This window comes from Homo sapiens, chromosome 9 (genome assembly GCF_000001405.40).
Source record: "Homo sapiens chromosome 9, GRCh38.p14 Primary Assembly".
Taxonomy (NCBI): domain Eukaryota; kingdom Metazoa; phylum Chordata; class Mammalia; order Primates; family Hominidae; genus Homo; species Homo sapiens.
This window is the reverse complement of record NC_000009.12, coordinates 14,081,141-14,106,901: the sequence shown is the minus strand read 5'-3', so window position 1 is coordinate 14,106,901 and position 25,761 is coordinate 14,081,141. Positions and strand designations below refer to the sequence as shown.

General features: G+C 35.2%; 1 protein-coding gene across 32 annotated transcripts in view; it reads left to right on the top strand.

The window, feature by feature from the left end:
- Nucleotides 1-25,059, top strand: part of NFIB (nuclear factor I B) — a 450,235-nt gene extending 425,176 nt beyond the window's left edge. For 18 of the 32 annotated variants that reach the window (NR_161383.1, NR_161382.1, NR_161384.1 and 15 more), the window contains one exon: nt 18,576-25,054. Coding sequence is in view for 28 of the 32 variants with exons in the window: in NM_001369463.1 (NP_001356392.1) it covers nt 18,576-18,661 (86 nt within the window). In the remaining 4 variants the exon portion in view is untranslated. Of the gene's footprint in view, nt 1-4,391; nt 4,481-18,575 lie in introns of all 32 variants that reach the window. The other 14 variants (NM_001369462.1, NM_001369459.1, NM_001369458.1 and 11 more) reach the window with 2 other exon arrangements.
- The last annotated feature ends 702 nt before the right edge of the window (nt 25,060-25,761 follow it).

Below are 25,761 nucleotides of genomic sequence, written 5' to 3'. Positions count from 1 at the left end.
GTTGTCATCGTAGGAACTGTTAGTACCTCAGCCTGTTTGCTGAGTCTAGCAAAATAGAACATTTTGCTTACCTTCTTTCTTTTGTTCCCAAAGCTAATTGCTGTGTATTTAACAAAAGACCCTGTTAATAACAAAGGAGGACCCCCATTTGAATAAACAAACTATTAGTCTGAAGTCACAAGCAATATTAATTCTTTATGGCTATCTGCTACTTACATGATTATTTGAGTGTAGTTTAGGAAAGGATAATGATCCAAATCTTAGGTGTTTCCCCTTTATGTAGCCATTTGAGAGGAACCAGATGGCCCCTATCCTTTTTCTTTTTTTCTTTGAAGCAATCTGATTTGAACTGGGCCAGGAACAAGGTTCTCTTTCCAGAGACCACAGAACTCCACCCTAAGAACATATGCAGTGAAAACTTCACCTTCACATCTTTCTTATTTGTTTAAACTGTTCCAACCTTCCCCCTTTACTGATAGCTTTTTTGGAAGATAATCTTACTTTCTTAGTTCACCTTTTATTTGGTTTTGAAATTCTGGGCATTTTCTAGACAATAGAATTTCATATTGGTATGTGCATATAAATTAAAGGATTAAAATGATTTATATGAGTGTGCATTTTTGTAAGGATATGCATATGATCAGTTCTTTTTGAGAGTCTATATTGTTACAAAAATAAGAATTGTTCCCCACCTCCACATGAAAACAGACAATTCTAACAGACTGAATTTCTAAACTGAGTGGCACTTGGTATTTTAAATTTGATTACTATTGGGAGAAAAAAGCAATTTCCTATTTCTTAATAAAAAATACTTGGAAAAATTCTTACAGCATTCTTAAAGCTTTGAACTTAGAAAAATTCTATATAAATGAAAGGCATGTATTTATGTGCCACTTAAAATTAAAGTTTTAAAATAAAAAAAGAGAATTTACAGCTGAATTACCTAACACTGATTCTGTCACAGGACAGAAACTAAGGAATCACCACCCCAAACTCAAAAAAGATTATCACCTATTATGTTAAACTTATTTAAAGCCTAATGTAAAATTATTTTTTATTAGGAAAACTGAATTATGCTAAAGGCAAGAATATGTAACATGACCCCAAAAGAAGCTTAAATACATGTAGTATTAACCTTTTAATATATAGAGTCTGTTCACAATTTGCTTGGTCAGGAATATCTTGGTCAAATAAGATTAGAAATTGATTTTCTTAGGAATTACTATCATGGAAATCTTTGGTGAATAAGTGATTTCTATTTTAATGATTTAATTGCATCCCCCACCCATACCATCACTTTAAAATTTCACTTTATCAGGGAGTTTTGTTAGTTCCAAGATGCTTTATGACCAAGAAGGTTTATTAATTGAAAAAAACCAACATGAAGAGAGAGGCTCTTGCTCAAGTAACCTGGCTTAAGTTATAGCGTGTCTCCTCAGAAAGTTCAAGAAATGTTGTAATGGTAGTGCACAATCTAAACAGATAAATTAGTTTCTTATATTTTACATTTTTAGTAACTAAAAGGAAATTCAATGCTAATTAATATATTGCCAATTTATTTGGCATTAAATTATTGCTAAATATATTTGTTGTTTATTTTGAATGTACTTAAGCATATTTTTCTGTTTGGGAGAAAATATTTCTATTGCATATATCTTAAATAGATGATAATGAATAGCTGTAGTCAGGTTTATCCACTTTGGGACTACTTTTAGAAAAGAAAAGTCCAAAAATACGTTCATTTTTATGTGTGCAGCATATGGTCAAAGATAGCCCATTTGACATTTTTGGGGGTCGTAAAACAAACAAACAGACAAAATATTAGCAACATTAACAACAAAAAAACTAACTCATTTACAACACATCCTTCTGAGGAGATGTGGTCCTACAGTTGTCTGTGGGACAATAAGCAATCAGTGAGTGGTATTTAGATTCCCCTGGCTTTGTGAAAGCATATTATTTTTCTGAAAACTTCTCCAACCTAAGCTGAGAGCCCCATAGATACTAATCTGAAGTTAATAATTAACATAATTAATATGTACTATGCCTAAATATACATCTCCCCTCTTCCAAATGTTTGATTCAAAACTAGCATTTTCACCAGCCTGGGCAACATAGCAAGATCTTATCGCTACAATTTTTTTTTTTTTTTAATTAGCCAGGCATGGTGGCACGAACCTGTAATTCCAGCTACTCAGGAGAGTGAGGTGGGAGGATCACTTGATTTCTGGAGGTTGAGGCTGCAGTGAACCATGATCGTACCAGTGAACTCCAGCATGGGCCACAGAGGGAAAGCCTGTCTCAAAAAACAAACAAATAAAAATTAAACAAAACCCTTCCATTTTCATTGACTAGAGTAGAATCAGTAAGTGATAAATCATTAACATTCTTGTTATACAAAGCCAAGTTTCTTGAACTGTTTTTTGATTGTTTTCATTGTACTTTTAAAACTTTTACAGTAAAAAAAACTGTAAAAAAAAAACAGAAGACAATTTGCCCCATCACACTAAATTTGATTAGACGACCCATTTTGAGAACTTTTAAGAAATCTTGCCATATTGCTTCCCGCTAGACTGAACACATTTACTTCTTTGAAATATTGAAAGTATGTCATCTGATTTAAAACAAAGCAAAGTGTACTTTTTTTTCCTTCATGTGAGTATTTTGGTCCATTTTAAGAGTATTTATGACCAGGCACCCGTGGCTCACACCTGTAATCCCAGCACTTTAGGAGGCTGAGGTGGGCGGATCACTCAAGGTCAGGAGTTCGAGACCAGCCTGGCCAACATGGCAAAACCCCATCTCTACTAACAAAAATTAACTAGGCATGGTGGCACACTCCTGTAATCCCAGCTACTTGGGAAGCTGAGGCAGGAGAATTGCTTGAACTTGGGAGGTGAAGGTTGCAGTGAACTGAGATGGTGCCACTACATTCCAGCCTGGGTGATGAAGTGAGACTGTCTCAAAAAAAAAAAAAGAATATTTATTTTTCTTTCTAATTTATTTACTGATTTATGACTTCTTTATGACATATATCCTGAGCAGAATCTACATGTCTATCAATCTGTTGATCTATCTATGTATATGCAGGGAATTTTTTTCAGTTCTTTAAATCATAAAATCACTTTTACTTGAAATCCTGAAATATGCAAATAACTAAAACACGTGGTTTGGAAATTTTAGCTAGTATTTTTAGAGCCTCATAGATCGATAGAAAAATGAGCAAAAACTATCTTTCTAAAACTCCTGAATCACTATTACTTAGTGTGTGCAGAAGCTCGATAGTCTAAAAGGGAAAGTAAAGATTCTTAATAGCCTATTTCTTTGGCCACAACATTATCAGAAATGTTTAAAATAGTTTATCATAAATTTTAAGTTTATGATAATTTATGGTACTTTGGTTCCAGTCATCATCTGGAAATTCTCACTGAAAAGCAGCAAACAAGGTTTAGTGGATTACTGTGAAGAAGTCATCTTTTCAATGTAAGATGCTGTTAATTTACAGTGTGGCCATCTGAAGGTTAAAAACGATGATTTTCTACTGTGTTTCCCCCCCCCCAACCCAGATAAGTTTACTTTCTTAAGAATAAAAATAAGCAATATATCTTTTCAATAAATCTGCTAGCACTGTAGGGCAGCTGTTAACCAAGCAGAGCTGGATAGGGTTACTCGAACAATCTCTGAAGGGCAGAGCTGATGATTCGGAGATCTGGGAAGAATTTGTTTCAGCTTGTATTCAGTGCATTCCTCACTTTCTTCAGATGTAGTAAAGTATTTTAAATGCCATTACTCTGAGTTTAAAATAAAACTAGAAATGCTTATCAACTCTTTCTAAACAATGCCAGTTTAAGCAAAACAAAATTAGTAAAAGGTTAAAACTGAAGACCTTGATGCTTCTAAACACAAGTTAGGGCGAATGTTTGTAAGGTGGGCCTTTTCTCCTCTAAACTGCATGTCTTCTGTGTTTTGCAAACTGCATGCTTAAAGTTATTGATTATTTTATTCAGTGCAGATTATTTGGTGTGATGCATAGAAAAAAAGCATTTTTATTTTCTTTCTAAAATATATCTCTCTATTGAACATTAACGTTTGCTTTCATTCCAGCTCAATTTGTGCTCTAATAATGGCTAATTGTTATGTTCTAAGCACTTGTTTCTCTTGTATGCTTTAATTAATAGAGAAGCATATTGCAATAGCTTTTTCTAAAAAAGAGTCTAGGAATTTTGCTTTTCAAGAATAAGATTTTTTTTTGCTTTTTTTTTTTCTTTAAGTTGCCTCTTGGGAAAGTAAGGTTAATGCCATGTACAGTACTAGTTTGCATGTGTTCATTTAAATACTAAAAACTGTAGTACTGCTCGATCCATATCTGACTGCTAGGTTTCAATTGACAGCTGAGGATTTGTGACTGGACCATGAATCAAAACGGCAGGCATTTATACCCCAGTACCAGTGAGGATACATTGGGAATTACTTGGCAAAGGTAACATTTTAATTATTTCCAACCCTACACTTACACCTAAAAATTACATGAGCTATAGTGTTTGTTTTTAACTAGCTTTACAGAAAATATATGTTAAAAATTTAGTTGTTTTGGCTATGCCATTCTTCTTTCCCTGTCCTCCTCCTTTATTTCTTATGTAAATGGAACGTCAAATTAAGTTGGGACTATAGTATATGCTTACTGATCATTGGAATTTTTAAATGCTATAAAATGTTTTCTACAATTTATACTGTTTTTGGTGGGGGAGGGGGTGGAATGTGACATTTAGATTTTAGGACCTGAAAAGTGAAATCACAGCTTTAGTGAAGATTTTTCAGCTACCTGAGGATAAAGCATTGGTTTTCACATTGTAGGTTTTTCTTATTTTAACTCTTTCCTCTACTGCTAATTCTAAGCCATTTCACTGTTCATTTTTTTCCCCTGTTGTAGGGAAAAAAAATAGCAAAAAATTTTGGTTAGTCAATTTAACTGTTATTGACAGCACCCATAAATTTTGGAGTAGGAAGATTGTTGGAATCAGTAACTAAAGAAGGAATTTGTTAAAGTTTTAATTTCTGTTTGTATACTGATGTGATTCATGGAAGATTGACCTTATTTGGTTGGCTGAGAAAACTATTCTAAAACTTCATTTTCAAAACCAGTTCTGATACTGTTTCATGCATTGCCTTTAGAAAGTAAGTATTTCAAAGTCAGCTGCGCTTATGTATTATTTATTTTATTTAAGAACAAATTGTGTCAAATTGACAAATTAAATAATTAGATTCATGGTATAATCATAAGTAATAAGAAATAAAAATTGGCAGAAGAGAGTGAGGTAATCCCAGAAGGAGTTCACCAGATAGAGTTGACATAATTTTCCAACCCTGCTCTGATGTTAATCCTCCGTTTACGGAAAGTGTCTATAGAAAGGTACATACTCAGATAGAGTTGTAGATCGTCTGCCTATCTCCATATTGGTTCACAGAAACTGCTGAAGAGTAGATTTTAAAGAATCAAAATAATTAAATGTCCACTTTAATTCAGATAAAAATTAAGGAAATAATTCAGATTATGTTTTTAAAAACAATGACTTTTTATTAATTCACTACCATGTGACTTTTCTTCTTGAAGATTGATATAACCTCCACTTTTAAAAGGTATACATTTTTACATATTGTGATTTTTTTAACAAGATTGTATTCATCCTCCCTTTTGAAAATAATACAATATATGCTTATAAAAAGAAGATAAACTCAACGTAACCATCTTATCCAAATAGCCTTAATGATTAATAGTCTTAATTAAGTGAAAGTATCTCATTAAAATATTCTGAATTAATATACATTTTAAAGTTTATTTAATTGAATTTAATGACCTAATATTTCCATATGTTATTTAATAAAAGGTAATTGAATTTAATAACCTAATATTTCCATATTTTATTGAATAACTCTCTTATATTTCATGCTCTATCAGTTAACAAAATGACTCATGTCTGCGTACAAGCTTACCATATTTATAACAATTGCAAACCAGATGACGTGTACTCATGTTTGTAAATGCACCTATAGCTATGCGAACTTCCAATTCTGTGGAATATTGATTGGCTTACTAAATCTAAAAATAGGATAGACCTCTAAAGCATATTTGTAAGTTGTTAGAGATTTAAAATGTAACTTTACCTAGTTATTAGTAATGTTTTTGTTTTGAGACGGAGTCTCGCTCTGTCAACCAGGCTGGAGTGCAGTGGCGCAATCTCGGCTCACTGCAAGCTCCGCCTCCCGGGTTCACGCCATTCTCCTGCCTGCCTCAGCCCCCTCCGTAGCTGGGACTACAGGCGCCCGCCACCACGCCCGGCTAATTTTTTTGTATTTTTTAGTAGAGACGGGGCTTCACTGTGTTAGCCAGGATGGTCTCGATCTCCTAACCTCGTGATCTGCCCGCCTCGGCCTCCCAAAGTGCTGGGATTACAGGCGTGAGCCACCGCGCCCGGCCACAGTAATTTTTTAAATAAAAACTTGATAGCCCATGGAAAGAGAAGATGAGTGGGCAATAAATCTCAGAACACATGTATTGGAGGAAATGAATCTGATGATTAAACTCAGTTCTTAGGGCAGTATTGTTGCTGTCACAAATCCCCTTCCTGGTGAAAAATTGATGTGGTAATCAGTTTCAGGTCATAGTAAGTCAGAAAAAAATACAGAATTTATTTAGGTAAAATGTTTCTTCCCTCTCAAAAATTGTAACTTTTCTTTTGATTAGTAGGTAATGGCATGTAGAATGGTCTTAATGATCCTAAAAGCTCTTTAAAAGGTATCTTGGTTTTTTTTGTTTTTTTGTTTTTTATTTTTTAGATAGTCTCACTTCCTCACCCAGGCTGGAGTGCAGTGGCACGATCTTGTCTCACTGCAACCTCCGCTTCCCAGGTTCAAGTGATTCTTAACGCCTCAGCTACCAGAGTAGCTGGGATTACAGGCGTGCACTGCCACGCCCGGCTAACTTTTGTATTTTTAGCACACACTGGATTTCACCATGTTGGCCAGGCTGGTCTGGAACTCCTGACTTAAGTGATCTGCTCGCCTTGGCCTCCCAAAGTACTGAGATTACAGGCATGAGCCACCATGCCCAGCCAGTATCTTGGTTTGTTTCTTCTCTTTCTATCCTGATTCAGAAAGCACATAATTGATAATGGCAGCCATCACATTTCTACATTGAACAGATATTATTGAATCTTTATGGTGAGCTGTGCTAAATGCTGTGGTGAATCCAATGCTGACAGTTCTTAAAATCTAGGTGTGATGCAGTTCAGAATAAATAAATTCAAATGACATAGGTTGCTTTGCTTTGTTGTAGTTTTCAAAAATGGACACAACAGAGTTCATATTTGATAATACAAATAGCCCTTGTCGGTGGCATGATAGCTTTATCCATCTTTTTTAGTTTATGACTTGTGGTTATTTTTAAAACATTGAAAGAATTTTGAAAAAAGTCATAAATGTCTGTAACACTAGCACTTTTAAGGCAGATAATAGACATCTAAAATCTTCAGGGCATGGCTATGGCTTTAGAATCATCTGAATAAGTTGAAAATATTTAAGAAATATAGGTCTGTTCATCCAAAGAATTAAATAATTTGCCTTTGTCACGATGGAATAAATAAAATATCACAGGTTATTTTTGTTGTGGTAGATGCCTTTTAACAAAAGGCAATCCCTGGAGACTGTTGTAGAAAAGGACAAAGCAAAACGGGTGTTTTGGTTTTGCTTTATTTTGATTGATTGTTGTTTGTTGTCATTACTTTCTTTGTACAATCACTTTTCCATGGTCACCCTCTTTTCTGCTTTATACTAATTGCCCTGTTGAGGTGTTTCCATGTCAAATGCAGCTCTTGTCGGAACTGAAAATGGCAGTGCCAAGGGAGCTGTGCAAGTATAATCAAAGCTGGAAGATTTCCTCCATCCACCCGCAACCCCAAGGCTTAAGCATTCCCTTAGGAACCAAAGCTGACTCTTTGGGAAAGTTTTCACAGCCTTATTAGGTTACAACCCTGAAGATGTTTTGTTGTTTTGACCTTAAAATTTTGTGAACTGTTTTGTGAACTGTGTGTGTGTGCACACACATGTGCAAAGGAGTTGCTTGCACCTTGAGAGAGTCAATTTTTCTGCCTAAGTGAAAGGTCAGGAACTGCAGTTAACCCAGAGTAAAATATTGGTTGGGTGAAGGGCTCACTTCTAGTATAGTCAGAATGGGCTCAAGATCTTAGGAGGATGATAGGTGATGAACTGCTTAAGGTAGGTACTGTTGTGTTTGTGCTTTGTCTCATGTGGACAAATTACCTTGTTGCATATGTGAGTTATGTGGACATAAACATATACAGCAGTTACTCCCTGACTGGCTGGCTTTCTTAAAGTGATAGTCAGAATATAGCCTGTACTGTCAGATATGAAAGATCAATATAATTGAATGAAAAAGAAAGCTGAAGGACAATCCAAGAATAATACAAACATAAGCTATTTTAAAACATTAGAGGGAGTGCTTTATGCAAAAGAGAAACTGAATTTATTGTTTCATTCTCTCTTCTCTCCCTTCACCCCTTTCAAGAAAACGCAAAGCCACAAGTGAGTGGTTGTATGTGTCTGATGGCTTATGTAAACATAGAAGAAGTCTTCAGATGGCTAAAATAAACATGCGCGTGTTACCAAAGGATATGTTTACACAAACCATTTGCTCAGCCTCTGAAATAATGAATAAATGAAGATTTTACTAAAATAATTGGGAGGATTTTTGTGTTTCTGCGGATGCCATAATTGAATGGCACCAAAGAGACTTTTATCAGCTATTTTCCGTGTTACATGTGTTAGCAGTTCCTTTCTGTGGGTTGAATACTTCATTCTGTAGTTACTTTACACATGTTTTTCTAAGAAATTGTCGTTTATTACTGCAATTCTAGAGAGTTGCTTGATTTCTCAAGAGAAATTTAGCAGCCAGTAAAGGTTATTTGGATCTGGTTGGTCAGGAGAGGGAGGGCAAAAAAAAAAAAAAAAAAGAAAAAAGAAAGAAAGAAAAAAAAAGTGTGGGGGGGTAATAGCTCTCATTTTATCCATGTAACTTAATTTGCATAACACTCACCTCAGCCATTTTCCTTGCTTTGTTCATAACATTTTCTTTGTAAAATGTATGCTCTCAAAAGAATGAATATTTAAACAAAAAATAACTTTCAATAATGGGTTGCAAACCATATGTTTGTATTACATATATGTGTTTGTGTGTGTATGCATCTATATGTGTGTGTGTATGTAGTGTGTGTGTATATCTCCACATATATGTGGCATACGTATGATAAGGGCAGTATGTCCTTAGGTAATATAAAGAGTTAACTTTTATTTCAACATTACACTTAGAACATCCCCGCGAATTCACTAGGTTAGCATTTCCTGCTCTCAGTTTGTTATCTTGACACATAACTACAGTACAACAGCTGGGTTGTTCCTGGAGTTCCTGGGGGGAGCTTTATTCTCCGAGTGCTGAATTTCCTTTTCAGCTGTCAGCTCTAAAGTGTGTTCAAATCCTCAACTTTTTATACACCATTCTGGGCCCCTAGCACCACTCTGGGACTATGATAGAAATGCTGATATGGTAGATGAATGGAAGAATCTTTGGTTCAAGGTGGAGAATTGCAAAAACCAAAATTTCACATGATCATTGTTTGGTAAAGGGGCTGCTAACTACTTTTGTCTTTGTATATGAATATTCTTTTTAAAGGAATTACTCTATTCTCATCAAAATTATTTGCACCTGTTATGAAATCAAAAATAAAAACATTACCATTCTTAAAAATGATCTTGATATGGTTTTCACGGACGCACAACATCTGTGGTCTGGCTTTTGAATAATATGTTGGGATTTGTCGTAGTTTTGCCTAACTTTCTCCATTTATAAAGAAAGATTTGTACAACACGACATTTCCTTTTTATCTAGGCAAACTCTTCAGAACACTTCCTAAGAAATTAATTGTATTCCAGCCAGACTTGCATGCTGCCATCCCACAGGAAATGGGTCAGCAATCCATTAAGATGCCATTAGATAATCTAATTTGGAACTTAATCTCTAAATTAACCATGCTCCATACTTGAAGCGTACTTGAGAGAAAGAAAAAAAGTTTACGTTTGAATCGATAGGGGAGCCGAAGCGTGAAGAAGGCTGTTTGTTTTTTCTGTAGCTGTGGTCACGTCTCAAGCCGTCTGGTAACCAGGAGAAACCAGACATGATGTAATTCCAGATTGAACTTGAACTTCAGGGACTTAGGTTGGGGGAACAATGGACCATAGGAATCAATAATGTCCATTTTCCACATGATTATGTTTGGAGCTTTAAGTTAACCTTTATGGGAGAAGCAGCAGGATCTGCAGTGTGACCAAAATGAGATGATCCTGAGACAAGATGTTAGAGGAAAGAAAACAACTTTTTTCCGTGATATTTTCTGAGCAGGACTGCAGATTCCAGCAGGATTAGAAAAGTTCCCGCTCTGCAGTAAACCGGTGGCCTGTTCAGAGCACTCTTTGTTCGCTTAGGTAGGACAAACTTAATCTTACGTTTCCTGTCGATGATTTTTGGCAGCGCTACTGGAGAGGGAGGAGCGTGATTCTGAAAATTCCCAAATGTAAACCTTGCTGATTAACCCTTTGTAGTGAAAGGAAGTATATTAAACCCCTACTTTATTTGAATATGTTTTATGTAAAGTGCCATATTTACAGATGTAGTTCGTCCGTAAGAAATCAGTTCCCTCGACAGCCAGTGCACCATTTATTAGCTTACCTTTTTGGTTCTCATTTTTGCTAGTGCTGTTAGTAGGGATATGATGATTTTTTTAGTCATATTTACTTAAATAACAAAGACTATGAATGAATAAATATCATAATAAACATAATAAATGATAAAAGAAATGGCAAAATCTTAAGGTCAAGTAATTGAAGAACACGAATTTTGAATATTCTGAAATTGCAGAAAGTTACAATTATTCTCTCTTGCTCACTTTGTTTCACACACAGGAAGATCTTTTGCCCATGTAAGATCTTTTGCCCTTGTGAACAGAGTAGCAAGCATGATATTAAAATGTGTTCAGTTCTTTAATCATTTGTAATTTTATGCTTCAGCATTCTGATACAAGTAAGTTTCACCTTTAAGAGGTAAAATTGTGCAAATAATGCTGATTTTTGCTTTTAACTGAAAATCATTTATAAAAGAATCTCTTTTTGCTTTGTATAAAACTTATATTTCTATTTGATTTAGTATGCCTTGGGTGATTTTCTCTAGTGAAAGGCACTATTTTGAAGCACCATTTTTGTAGAGAATTTTATCTGCTGTTAAAGCATCACATATGCAAATAAGAGGAGCAGTACCACTTTTAACAATAGCATTGAAAAGAAGCCCAGGGTAGAGAGGAATACAGACAGAAAGAGGCTGGAAATCAACATGTGGGCTTCTCCACTGTGCTGTGGTCTGTGGGAGGAGATAAAATAATTGCTCTGAGCCTGATAATTGTATAATTTTTAATTGGCTAAAACCTCCCACAGCTACCTGAGTTCTTATATATGTATGCATGTGTGTACTGTAATTTATTTATAATTAGTCATCTTCATAATAATTTTTCATCTTTCATTTTCAGTTCTAAAATTTGAAAAAGATCAAACAATTTTTTTATAAGTCCTTAATTTGGCCAATTGAGGAAGAGCTTTTTTCTTATTTATGTTTAAACCGAACATTTTAAGGAAGTTTTTATTTAAGTGTAGGTTGCTATATCGAAGGCTTCAAGTATTATGTAAGAGTTTTTTACTAAACGAGTGCAGTAATTATAAGGAACACATTTAATATTTAGTGGCAGTGCTCCCATATGGAGTGGCTTTTTCTTGCCCTGTGCTCTTTATTAGATAAAATATTTCAATGGTAGATGCTATTATTTTACTTAGAAAGTGCTAGCACTCACGCATGGTAAAGTTAACATTCAATCCACTGTGCCCTAAGAACAAAAAACTTCTGAATCAATTGAATATAAATTAATGAGGTTTGATGGGCTACCATTTTGATATGCTATTTTCAAAACCGTTGGTCCCCAAGGAGTAGCAATAAAGAAGGCTATTTACCTACTTAGTTAAGAAACAAATATGTTTCTCTTTCATTACTGTGAAGTCCTATTGCTTGCAGTTAGAATAATTCCATGAGCCACCTGCAGTTTATGATATTTGGTGTTTCCCAGAGAGCCCACAAGAGTACTTTGCAGTTCAGGTAAGAGCTAGCCAGGGAGCTTTCTGATACAGATTATTACAAATAGTAATAATCATTAGGAATCATCTTGCATGCAAAGAGGATCATTCCGACGGCAATAATGATCCCTAAAAACGGTGAAAATAAATCGAAGAAACCCAAGACCTGTATAAAACACTTTGTGTATTTCACTTCCAGGCTAGCCTCATCTGAAGTGGAACTCAACAAACAAATTATTGACATACAGCCACATCTGCACATATGTAAGACAAAAGCAAATACTGCATTCAGCTGAAAAGCAACTGGAATTGGAGGAATAAAGCACAGTTATTTGTGCTGAATTTTGGGCTCAAGAATTATACTTCCACAGGAATTTCATTGTGATATGAACCTCAATTCACAAAGTCTCTTGCATAATTCAGTGATAATATAACTTCTAGTCCAGTGAGAAAAGTAAACTATGCTTCACAGGAAGGGGAGATGAGAAAAGTTTAGTGGGTAGAAATACAGATCCTAGAATGACATTGCTCGAATTCAAATCCTGCCTTCTACAATTTAATAGCAATACGAGTTGGGCAAGACACTTAACTTCCTCGCTTCAGTTTCCTCATCTGTAAAATCAGGATAATAATGGTCTTTCTCATAGATTTGTTATGAGGATTAAAAGTTTTAAGGTAGGTCAAGCATGTAGAACAGTACCTGGCAAATAATACACATTATATAAGTGCTAGCAACTGGTATATTTATCAAGTACTATTTTCTTTGTTCTAATACATAAATAGATTCAACTTAAGTGTTTGTTCCTTCTACTGGTCTGAGCGAGCATTTTTTTCACAAGACGTAATCTGCAGCCTTTGTGTTATATTGAAGTAAGCAACCAGTCCGAATGCACCCATGTACAACCCAGGGCAGCACAGTTTTCCCAACAGGTTTTCAGCAATTAATAAGGAGAACTGTTTATTGTGCATTTTACAAGAAATGCTAATACTTGTGTGTTAATATTTTGCCAATAAAATTAGAGTGTTTAGCCAAGGAAGTAAAAACCTTTCCATCTTGGGGAGATCAGGAAATGTTGCAAAGGAACTAAAGGCAAATGCTTCTTTTAAATTAAAATACTTATTTTATTTATTCCCCATGCTTTCTGGGCCATTGCTCATTTTTATTGCCATCTGTAAATAATGTGGCTACTGTTACAGTTGAGGTATGTATTAATATGTACAACTCTTTGTGCTTTTTTCCTGTAATATTTTTTAAGCTTCTTGAAAGAGTATTTACTATCTTTTAAGTAAATATGGTATTTTCTCATGATTAAACCAGTATATAAATTCTAAATGGACAATACTATTGTTCCCCTGAAAAATATTCGTATACTGGATACTTAGACATTTCATAAACTGTTTAACTAGTGTGTTATCTCATCCATTATCAAATACACACAGGCTAGTAATAAATGATTTTTGCCATTCTTAAAATAGCTCTTATTGTTTCATCACCTCCAAATAAATAATAGGTGATGTAAAGTCTTTGACTTTGTTTGGTTTCTGGCTCAATGTAATGGCTTCATACATGTTTAATGTGGCACCCTGTGGTTCCTAGGTGTTAGTGAGCTAAAAGGTAAGGGCCCAATTCTTTTTGGCCTAGAAGACACACTCCCATAATGCATAATTTTAAAAAAACATAACCAGAAAATGTTGGTATGGCTGCCGAGAGCAATTTCTGCCTTTCTTTCACTGAAAGGTATAGCTCTTTACTCTTTGTAGGTAGATGCGAAGATGAACTATTTTGCCCAGTTTATCCAGGATAAGACATATAGAAATAGTGCATCTTTTTAAAAGGAAGAAGTGGGTATCTTCTTCCGCCTTAATCCTCACGCTGTAGAACTCACCCTAGTAGAACTTCAACTAGATTTGTTTCAGAGGAGATGAATACATAGAATTTCAGATCATTTGACCACTTAGACCAGCTACATATTCTGTGCACTAGTCTCTTTCGCAACATTAGCTAGGTTATAATCCAGCTTGTATGGTGCATGAAAAGTTCACTGTCTCCTGAAGCCAATTAATTTTGCCTTCAGACCACTCTGTTCAAAAGTTCTTTCTTATGTTAAGTCATCTGACTTCCTGTGTAGGCAATATAATATAGTGAAATGGCCAGGGAAATCAGACAGATCTGAGTCATAACTGAGGGCTAAGTGGGAGACTTTGGGCAAGGAACTTAACTTGCCTCAGTTTCCTCATATGTGAAACAGAGATACTGATGGCCATCTCATGAGCTCACTGAGAAAATTAAGTGGTGTAGCATATGTAAAACACCAAAGATGGTACCATGCTTATAGTTAAGTCCTCAGCATGGCTATCGTCTGGAAGTTTTGCCTTTGTGCTGTTGCTACAACCTGAAGCATGCTTAAGCGGTCTACATTCCTTTCCACATCAACTGCTATATCTTCCCTGTCTACCCTTAGCTGTTCTGCAATGACATAATTTGGTGAGTTTTTCAATAAGTAAATGCCATAAAGTTAGGTTTTCTTCCACAGTGCTACCTAGAAGAAATACAGTACTTCAGAGGTAGTCTTACCAATAACAAAATGAAGCAGGACCATCACCAGTAATGCATCTTAAGCTCTAAATAATTCATTTGCTTCTTCCCTTTTGGGGGGAGCCATGTCATACATTTGGTCAAAATAGCAAGAAAATAGTATCCATGATATCAAACATTTTATTTTTGGAATTTTGATTTAGCTCTTATGTATTCATTTTATAATGAACTATCTCATTATATGCATAGTAATAGTCATTAGGATGAGCTGTACTTTGTGTTAAGGTACTATCAAATTCTTTTGTGTTTTTTTCTGCTTGATTTTTTTGCAAAGTAATTATATCTTTTCTTTTTTAAATGGTTATATCTACTTTATATTTTCTAAAGATGTGCTTTCAACTTTCAGCTATGCTCATCTTCTCTTTGCCTAAACAAATGTGATTTGGTAATGAAAAATTTGATTAAAACAAAGGAAATGCACACTTATAAAGATATATTGCTGAAGTAGCTGAATTTGAGCTTGAATATTTTGAAATCCTTTCAGTTATATTCTCATTTCTTTTATTGGAATGCAGATAGTTGGAATGAACATAAGATTATCCATATAGTAATTCTCACTATGAATTAAAACTATTAAGCATTTTACATGTAACTAATTTGTTTTTGTGTGTTTATTTTATCCATACATGTGATTATTGATTTTTATATAGAGTTAGATGTATAAAAAGCACTATTACATTTTTACCTGAGTAAGTATGCAATTTTAGACATTGCATTTTTGAAATTAAATAATCTGTATTACTTTAATTAAATATATTTATTTACATTGTTATCTCAGTCATTGAATTAGTTTTATCAAGTTTTTTTTTTTAACAGGACTACCAAAAATAGCTCTAAAAAATGTCTGTGCCTTATAGTTCTGAACTTAAATTGGCAATAAGAGACTTGTAAAACTCATATATGGGGTCTGCATAGTGTTAATGTTTGAGATTTATTTTCCCCCAAAGGTTCATAAACAGTATTGACAAATATATTGCACTCTGCAATTTTGATATGGTCATAATGTAGGATGGGCGGTTTGAAAGATTTAAATAAACATTTAAATTAAATTTGGTAGGCATTCTGCAGCAAGAGTCCTGTTAGTTACTAGCATCAATTTATTTTTATTGAACATTTTCCAAAGAATAATGACATATGTCTCTTCTAAAGAACTGAGTAAGAGAGCTATTGCAAAATAAACCCTGAGTTTTCTGCCATTAGTTGGTAGACTTGTCCATGTAAGGAGCCACATCTATTTTCAATCATTAAAATATACTTTATATCCCTAAAGCATGCAATCTCCAAATGACTTTCTTGAGCTCACTTAATTTGGCACTCTTGTTAATTTTGCAAAGCAATTTGCTGCTTGTTGACATTGTATTTTACTGTCAAGGATTATCTGCTTTACCTAGTCCTTTTGCTTTTGGTACATGCTTCTTACTTCAAGTTAAAAATAATGTATAACCATTTTTGTAATTTATTTTATTTGTTAAGAAATAGCACCAGCTATGCTCAGACTCTATAAAGATAGATGTGACTAGGTCGTTTTCTCTGTGAAGTTCACCTTTCAGTTAGTAAGATAATCCCAGATAGAGATATTTATGAAGTAATAAATGCTGTAACAGGACCATGTACAAAGTGCAGTGGAAACACAGTTGAGGGTAAAATAAGTTTCATGATTCATTATGTAACATTGTTCCCAATCAATGGTGCAAAGCACAAAAATAATTGTTGAAGATGTGTGTGGGAAGATAAATATGTGAAAACAGTTAAGCTGCTTAGTAAAAGTTTCAATAACAAGTATTCTTAAGAGTTACGATTTTTCATCAGATTTTGAGGACGTGTCTTTTTAGTTTGAATGTGATTATTCCTGCTTAATCAATTTTTGTTAATGCTAAGTAGATCTAATTTTAAATTCAGAGATACCTATTTTCTTTTTATAGGGGATCAAATCACAACATATTCATGAGTATATGTAATCTTGGGTGACAGCTTTTGAAAATATATAGCTGGGTGTGATTTGAAACAATTAATTGATTTGTTTGTCTAAAAAGGTATTGAGCATCTTCCATGTGCTAGGTACTTTACTAGAGACGGACTTTGCTGTCATTGAGTTTGTAGTCTAATTATAAAATCCCTTGAGCACAAATGGTCGTTGTGATATTGTTTTGAAATGTTAACTCAGAAATATGTATGTGTAGCAACAAGCAACATTTTGTATCGAGGTATCACCAGAGTAAAAACAGTATGTATCAAGTTTTAAAAAAAATTCAGAATTGTTCCTTTAGGTTGATATTCTGTAAAGGTTTTTGTACTTTTGGAATTCAAATATGAACAAATGAGCATATCTAGATTGATAGCTACAACAATAGTGCTATCTCACTTCATGGTTTCAAAAGTAAAGCAAAGGATGTTCAGTGAAATTTAAAACCTCGAAAGTATGTTTCCATGCTAGGCCATGACTAATATGAGTACTGAATTGTCAGTTTGATGTTTTCTTGGTTCATGATTATTTATGCAGCTGTTACTTAACTGACATTCATTCGGATTTGAGTGTTGGAACAGGCAATACATTAGATTAAGTGTACCCAAAATGTGTGCTGTAGAGTTGTTTCATGATATGTAGATCTGATTTTTTTTATCCTCCATATGATACTTTTTAAAGGGAGATTATGCTAGTAGCAATTAGAGAATTGTTTTCCAGTCTTTTTTTTTTTTTTTTAACAGCCTGTAATTCAGCATAGGCGAAAGTTGAACTGATGAGAGTAAGGCTGGAATCTTATCATTTACTGCCTCCAACACCCCCAACCCCCAACCCGCCATCTATCACTCCAAACTCCTCAAGTGCAGAGCAGCTCAAATGTGGTATCATTACTGATGGGGAGGAGCAGGAAATGCTCAGGCTTCTGTTGCAAGCCAATGTAGGGAACCATGAATTGGAAGGAAAAGCTGTGGCTCTCTCTAAAAGTAAGTTAAAGAGGGTTAGAATAAGAAAACTGCTGGAGAGCTATAGAACTAATCAGTGCAAGCAGAGACCTTTGTGGCCTCCTGTAAATGTTTTTCCTCACGATGGGTATTCTGTAGAGAACAAAAAAAGCTGTGTTCCATTTTGGTTCTATGATTCTTATTTGTTCGGTCTTTACTAAAAAACTCTGATTAAGGTATGTTTGATAATTGGGCATTTCAAATTGTATGTTATGCATGGGCCTACCTTAAACATGTAGTTTTTTTTCCTGTTGTAAGGAGAAAAGAAATATCTTTCACCGTACTTTTCAATTGTATTCAACCCAATAGGCAGGTAAGAAATTGAAACCCATCTGACCACTGAATTGCTTGTGAATTAAAGGTAAAATAAGATTAGAATGTAACTGGCAAAGTATATTGGTACCAACAGATTGCTGCTTTTCTTTTTCTTTTTTTTCCTGTACAAAAAAGAATGATATTGCATTTATATTGATTAATGTAAAATATTTTAGAATATCCTCAATCGGTTAGAATTCAATAATTGTTTATATATCTTACTCTGGATTTTTCTGCCTCACTTTAGTCTTAATTTTCATTTAAAAAATAGACTATAGAGTTTAGATAGGTGTAACATGTATAATTTGGCACATTTATCTCATATTAGACTGTAATTTTGAAAATAGGGATAGCAATAATTTGATGCATCTGGAATTTATATTTCTCATATTGTTGTAGATTTTAACATTGTATTTTTTTCTTTTTTCTTCCCTCCCTGCTGCCTCTCTCCTCTCAACAGTCCTGGTACCTGGGCTAGCTTGGTTCCTTTCCAAGTGTCAAATAGGACACCCATCTTACCGGCCAATGTCCAAAATTACGGTTTGAACATAATTGGAGAACCTTTCCTTCAAGCAGAAACAAGCAACTGAGGGAAAAAGAAACACAACAATAGTTTAAGAAATTTTTTTTTTAAATAAAAAAAAAGGAAAAGAGGAAGACTGGACAAAACAACACAAAGGCAGAAAGGAAAGAAACTGAAGAAAGAAGATAATAGACCAGCAATTGCAGCACTTACAATCACTAATTCCCTTAAGGTTGAAACTGTAATGACATAAAAAGGGTCGATGATATTTCACTGATGGTAGATCGCAGCCCCTGCAACGTAGCCTTTGTTACATGAAGTCCGCTGGGAAATAGATGTTCTGTCTCTATGACAATATATTTTAACTGACTTTCTAGATGCCTTAATATTTGCATGATAAGCTAGTTTTATTGGTTTAGTATTCTTGTTGTTTACGCATGGAATCACTATTCCTGGTTATCTCACCAACGAAGGCTAGGAGGCGGCGTCAGAGGTGCTGGGTGACAGAGCCATGAGCCAGCCATTTTATAAGCACTCTGATTTCTAAAAGTTAAAAAAAATATATGAAATCTCTGTAGCCTTTAGTTATCAGTACAGATTTATTAAATTTCGGCCCTTAACCCAGCCTTTTCCAGTGTGTAACCCAGTTTGAAATCTTAAAAAAAGAAAAAATGAAAAAAAAAGGAAAAAAAGAAAAAAGGAAAAAAACAGTTTGAACACAAAGGCTCTATGGAAGAAATGCCTCTATGTAGGTGAAGTGTTCTCTCTGCATGCAACAGTAAAAATTAATATAATATTTTCCCCACAAAAGAAACACTTAACAGAGGCAAGTGCAATTTATAAATTTATATCTAAAGGGGAATCATGATTATAAGTCCTTCAGCCCTTGGACTCTAAATTGAGGGGATTAAAAAGAATTTAAAATAATTTTGAACGAATTTATTTTCCCCTCAGTTTTTGAGGGCATTAAAAAGGCATTAAATCAAGACAAATCATGTGCTTGAGAAAAATAAAATTAATGAAAACACAGCACTTATGTTGGTTTAGCTGCAGCCTCCTTGGAGGTAGAATTTATTTATTTAAAATTACTGGTTGCATCAAGAACCCATAGGGTGTACAAAAGGTTCTATAAAATCTGCATTATAGAGACAAAGAGGCAGGCAAATCCATGTCACAAGGGTAAAGCTTACAGTTTACAAACTGGGAACGCCAGGGTGTAGGATATAAAAACGCACTCTTGAGAAAACAAATGTAATCAGGGTGCTGAAAACTTGCATGGTGCTTTCAGACATTAGCCTTGTTCAACAAATTTCTTGTATTGACAGATCCATAGTGTGCATGGGCAGACACATTTTGCCTCTATGTCTCTTAAAATTTTAATTAAAAATACTCTTTCCAGTAATCCTAATTTGCACGAAGATATAATGTCCACATTACGTGCCTTGCCTTGAAATCTAAAAAACAAAAAACAAAAAAAAAAAAACAAAAAAATACAACAAAGTGACATCACTACACTTGTTTTGCTGCATTTATTATCATTTTAAATCTTTACCATTTTTATGACAAAATATTTTGTACTCCAGACGAAGAAAAATGTGTGACATCATGGATTTTTTAGACAGTTATACCTTTATCTCACATTTATAAAGCATATCATGGCTGTGTATAGTTGCCGCTTAAAAATTGTAATCGACCAGCAATATTTTCAGTATTTTGGTGTTTTTTTCTATTAACCTTTCATGTTTTTCATCTTCCAATTAATATTTGGGGGGGAGGGGTTTCAAATTTATACGAATTATGCAATACCAAGTTTTGCCTATGTAGGTAGTGCTTTTAGCTGTATTGGTTATTATAGGTAAGTACACAGATTTAAAAAAAAAATAATGTATGCTTTTTTGTTTGTTTGTTTGTTTTAATTGACCAAAGTGGGTACTGCTATTTTTGCAGTGTGATGAGGTCCTTTTGTGTACTGAGAGATGGACAGGGGATTTTTTTTAATATACATATATATATATTCTGGGGTGGGTGGGAGGATTTTTAACACTTTGCAGTGTAGCTGTGAAGCAGTGCACCCTGAGATGGGCCTGGGCTGCAAAGCGACTGTTCTGCCTACTGTGACAAACTTCAACTTACACAGGTTCCCCTCTCTAACTTCCCACCTGGGTTGCAAGCTGAACTCATTACTGGTTTTCATAACAACACAATAGTAAGAACAAGCAAACACAACAAATTCTCCTGGAGGCAGACTTGGCTTAAAAAGGCAGACTTGGCTTGGTGATAGTTTTTCTTGAAAGTTCCAGATCCACAGTGGAGAGTGAGCCTGTCTCATATTTGGCAAAAATATTTGTTGAAATGTCCACATAGGGGATGTTGGATGTTTAACACTTTTGAGAGTTTAACACATGAATATTCTTTCTCCTAGAAAACACATTAGACCTGTTGGAGGGAGTCTCCCGTATTCCTTTTCTGCCACTTTTCGTCCCCATTTCATTTCATTAATGATAGGATATGATTTACCTGTGACTTACTACTTCAAATGGATGGCAGTGCACTTGGATTTTTTTTTAATATCCAGAAGATTGAACAGAGGGTTGCTATTGTTGAATGTATTTGGACTGATAGATTAAAATCAAAGTTCAATTTTTAAGGAACAAAAAAGTAAATCCTGTTTTCATTTTATCTCCCCTTTTAAAACTGAGAACCAGAGCAGAAGGGAAATATAGAATTTTAAGCAATTAATCTTCCTGTGGATGAATTAAACCCATTAGATGCTGATGGGATTTTTTTAAGGAATGGTACCTTAACTATATATTTGATTTCGTTTCCCCTGAGGGCTAGAGGCTGAATGGAGGCTGGTTTTATTTTGCCTTTCCCTCACCGCCCAGTCCCATTGAGTGTATTCATTACTAGAAGGAAAATCTTTCAGAATTGGTGACACATGGTAGGCTGTCTTAAGGAGTCCCCTGGCCCCCTTCCCCTAGGCCATGGCCTAATAAAATAAACTGTCAATTGTTCTCACAGCATATCATTTAATAATGAATACTTTAGAACAATGCTTATGGGCTGGAGAATTGTATTTGATTAGCCCATTCAGTTTGATAGCCCAAATGCTGAACAGCACAGCGGGATCCTAGCAGTGCAAGTTCAAAAGTAAGTCCAATCATTTCTGTGATACTCGCCCTGGTAGCAAACAGATCATCTCAGCCAAGCTCTTCATGTATCTTTGACCTATTAGGTGAACAAATGAACCTCACAGGACACACAGTATTTTTTAAAGGCAGACTCGCTCTCTTTTTTGCCAGTGAGCAGTTCTAGCTAACCAAGTTACACACTGTGGGTATTCCTGCCTGCCTCTTGAATACAAAGGCCTAGTTCAAGTGTTGCTTTTTTTATTTCAAATCAATTTTTTCTTCTTTCCTTTTTGAGATAAAACTATTAAAAGTACTACTATATATATAAAATCTCAAATCAACTTTTCGGCCTCCTCCTCGTGTACCAGGAAGTATATTCTGACGAAGGGCCCCACTTTTGCAGGTCTTGCACGCCCCTCCCTTACCCAGAACTGCAGAGCTTCAGGATGGCGAAGGTCACCCAAGGGCATGAGTAGGGAGTGGTGTCTCCAACCATCAGTTCCGTGGCACTGTTCAGCCTTTGTGTGCTGCCCTGCCACCCACCACTCACAGTGCCTCTGAAGCGTGTTACCCCTGGAGTGACGTGAGCATTTGAGGCTTGTCTAAGGAAAAAAATAAAAGGCAGTGAAGGAGACTGTACATAAAGACATGGCAAAAATCTTAATTATAGCAATATAGTTATCGGGTAATGTTCGGGTGGGCAGCTCCATTAAAAAATATGTGAATGAATCTGTGAAGCTGCAAGTAGCGAGAAGAGCGAAAGGTCTTCTTAATGAACCGCCTACCTTGTAGACAGTAATTTGTACACTGTATAGTTTTGTTAAGAATTTTTTTTAAATTAAAATTCCCATGTTTGTAAAGCTAACTTTTTAACAATTATAATGGAACTATATGTTGTTTCCATTTTTAAAGTAAACAAGAATATTCCTTGTTTAGAGACTGGACTTGAGTTAAAACTCTCCAGTCTCTTAAGTTATGTATTAAAAAGAAAATCTGTCCATGTTAGGAGTTATTTCACAGATTCCTGTGCTTGAAAAGCATAGGATACTAATCCTTTAAAAAAGTGTAAATGGAGAAAAGTTATATTTTATGAAGGTTATTTTGTTGTATTTAGTATTGGAAAAGTTGGTTTCCAGAGCATTTCAGAATGTCGAAGCACCACTGTCTTTTTATTAGTATATACGGCCTTTAGCAAAAGTTTTTGTGATTGTTACGTGATGGTATTTAAGGTTAAGTTTCACAGAGCATTCAGGATAGGCAGAAAACTAAAACAGTGCTATGTCTCACATAACGTGTCCTCAGGGAGCAGAATCTTGGATTTGTGACTTGTAGCTTCATAAGGACTCAACGAAAGAGATTGCACAGGGACATCTTCAGCGGTGTGACAGCAGGACATGTTCTTTACCTAGATTCAAATTCTATGTACTGTGTGAAATGATGAAGGCTGCAGAAAGTTATCCCATATTCAGTGTACAGTATTCATTTTTAATGAAACAACTCTACAATATTGCTGGCAGATAGGCCCCAAGCATGACATTCAATATAGTTTACATGTTCCTGTCAAGGTCTTTTGTTAACATTAACCAGCTGCATGCTTTCTGGACTTTAAGAAATTGGGTTTCTATAGAAAACTTTTTTTTTTTTTTTTTTTTTAATGTGCAGGCTATTCAAGTTCAATAGTAAAAGCTCAAAAATGAATGTTCTACTCCATGCTGAAGGAGCTGAAAGCTGCCTTCTTCATATTTTGCACTTTCTGGTAGTTCCCCTGTTTTTTCTAATTCCCTAAAATTGTGTGGGTGGAGTGGAGCCCTGCAGTTGGGGGGTAACATGGACCACTGATTTTGCCCTTTGACCCTGCACAATGACCTTTGCATCAGCCAAACTCATTGCCATGACAACTCTTTGTACTGTGTCCGTGCCACAGATCTGTTGGTCACATTGTTAATAGTAAAGGGGACAAGTTGGAGACGGTCAATTTTTACATTTTTTGTTGCAATTTTTTCTTCAATGGTTGTAAGTAGTTTTTTTTTTTTTTTAATAATAAAAGGGTTCACTAGTTAATACTCTAGAAATATCTGTGTGTTGCAATTCAAATGTATGTTGAGATTGTGAAAAGCGCTTCAGTGCCACTAGCTTACCGGTACACTAGACTAAGCCCTTGATGACTTATTGCATGATACAGTACCAGGAACAACAGGTGGCCTAAATACATGAAAAGCAGTGTAAGCTAGTGACACTAAAGCCAGTCTTGTATTACTGTATTTTTGACAGAATGGTTTTGAAAACTGTGCTACAGGGACTGATGTGGCAAATATATCTCTTTATGCAGAAGGAAGTCTTTTTTTTTCTTTTTTTTTTTTTTAAGAAGTATGGCTTTTTATGCATCCTTCATCGAGGGCATTGAAGTTGCATGGACTGATAAAAGTTGATGCAAAACAAGAAAGAAACAAACAAAAAAAAAAAACCAGCAAAATGTTTACCAAAAAACTCAAACAAATGAGCAGTGCCTGTTCAATTTCACAGTCTCTGTTGAGTTCAGTTGTAAATATGTTTCAAATGACATTTTCTTGGGAAAAAAAATCTCTACAACATTGTAGAATGTGAGGGGTAACTACATCCCAGGCATAGGTTTCTCAAAGCTGCAGTAGATTATGTCTTCATCAAGCTGTTAATTTGTGCTTATATCATATAGAACTTTTAGCATCCTGGGAAGAGCTGCCCCCACCTCAATGATATTTCTCTGAGAACAACTTTTGTAGGACTGTGTGTTTCTTTAGATACATTTAGTACAACTGTAGGTGACGAGTAGTCAGTTATTGCTTGCTAGCTACACACCAGGGTTGATCCATTTTAAAACTTTTGGCATTTTGTCCTCATGGGCCATAAATACAGAACCTTGTATTTTAATTAAATTTTTTTACAAAAGGAGGCACATGCACAATCTCCATGTAACAAACCTTTAGCAGTAGGATGTATTATACGACAGTTACTTAATTTCTAGAGTTCAGGCCTCTGGGATCAACCCCAGACTGGGCCAGAATGTTAGTGAAGGTTTTATTGTGCCCGGTTGGAGGATAACGTTCTTTGGGTACTTTTTGTGGGTTGCAAATGAACTCAATTGCCACAAGTTTTAAACTGGTGTAAATCAAGCTTGACTTAATGTGATTGTTACTGTTATATCCAGCCTATACTGCTAGCAGCTGCTCATACTGCAGTCAATTACTGGAAGCGGATATATTTCCTATGCAAAAACTGTTTAAACAATAAAATGAGCTATGCTACAGACTCTGGCCTCATGTTTTATTTTTCTCCTCATCGTCTCCTTGCTGTTCTGCCTACATTAATGTTGGGTCAGTAGTGTCCCAGAAATTGATCTTGGCCCTTAACTTTGGGGGTTTTGTAGCACTGATTTAATTATTAGCATCTGGGATAGTTAATATTTCAGTTCAATATTTAACCGTATATCTGTGTATATCTATATAATCCTTCCTTGCAGTTCCTAATAAATACAGTCATCCCAAGCTTTCTAAACAATGACAGTAAAAAAAAAAAAAAAGAAAGTGCAGTTATAGAATCGCAGACCTCACTCTCTGAGAAAGGCCTTTGAGCAATACGTTGAAGACGATGTGTGCCATGATGACTGGACTGTGGTCTCTGTGAGAGAAAAACCACAGGGCATCAAACACTGAACAGAAAAGGTAAGCCCCGGGGACACCCTGTGGCTGTGGGTTTAGTGGTTACATGAATACTGCAGGAGAGCAATTTCTTCCTGCAAATGCCTGAAAAGGAGCAGCATCTTGTGTTTCCAAGAAGCAGTGCTACTTTTCAACACAAGCAGGGGTGATGTTCCCTTTTCACAGGGAGACATACACAAGGGCTAAAACCGAGGACCGGGTCCCAAATCCAGCCTCACTGAAAGCAGCATTTCTGAATGGAGTCAGCTGGAGTTCAATAATAGCTAATTGAAAAGGAATGAGCTTAAATGGTTTTGT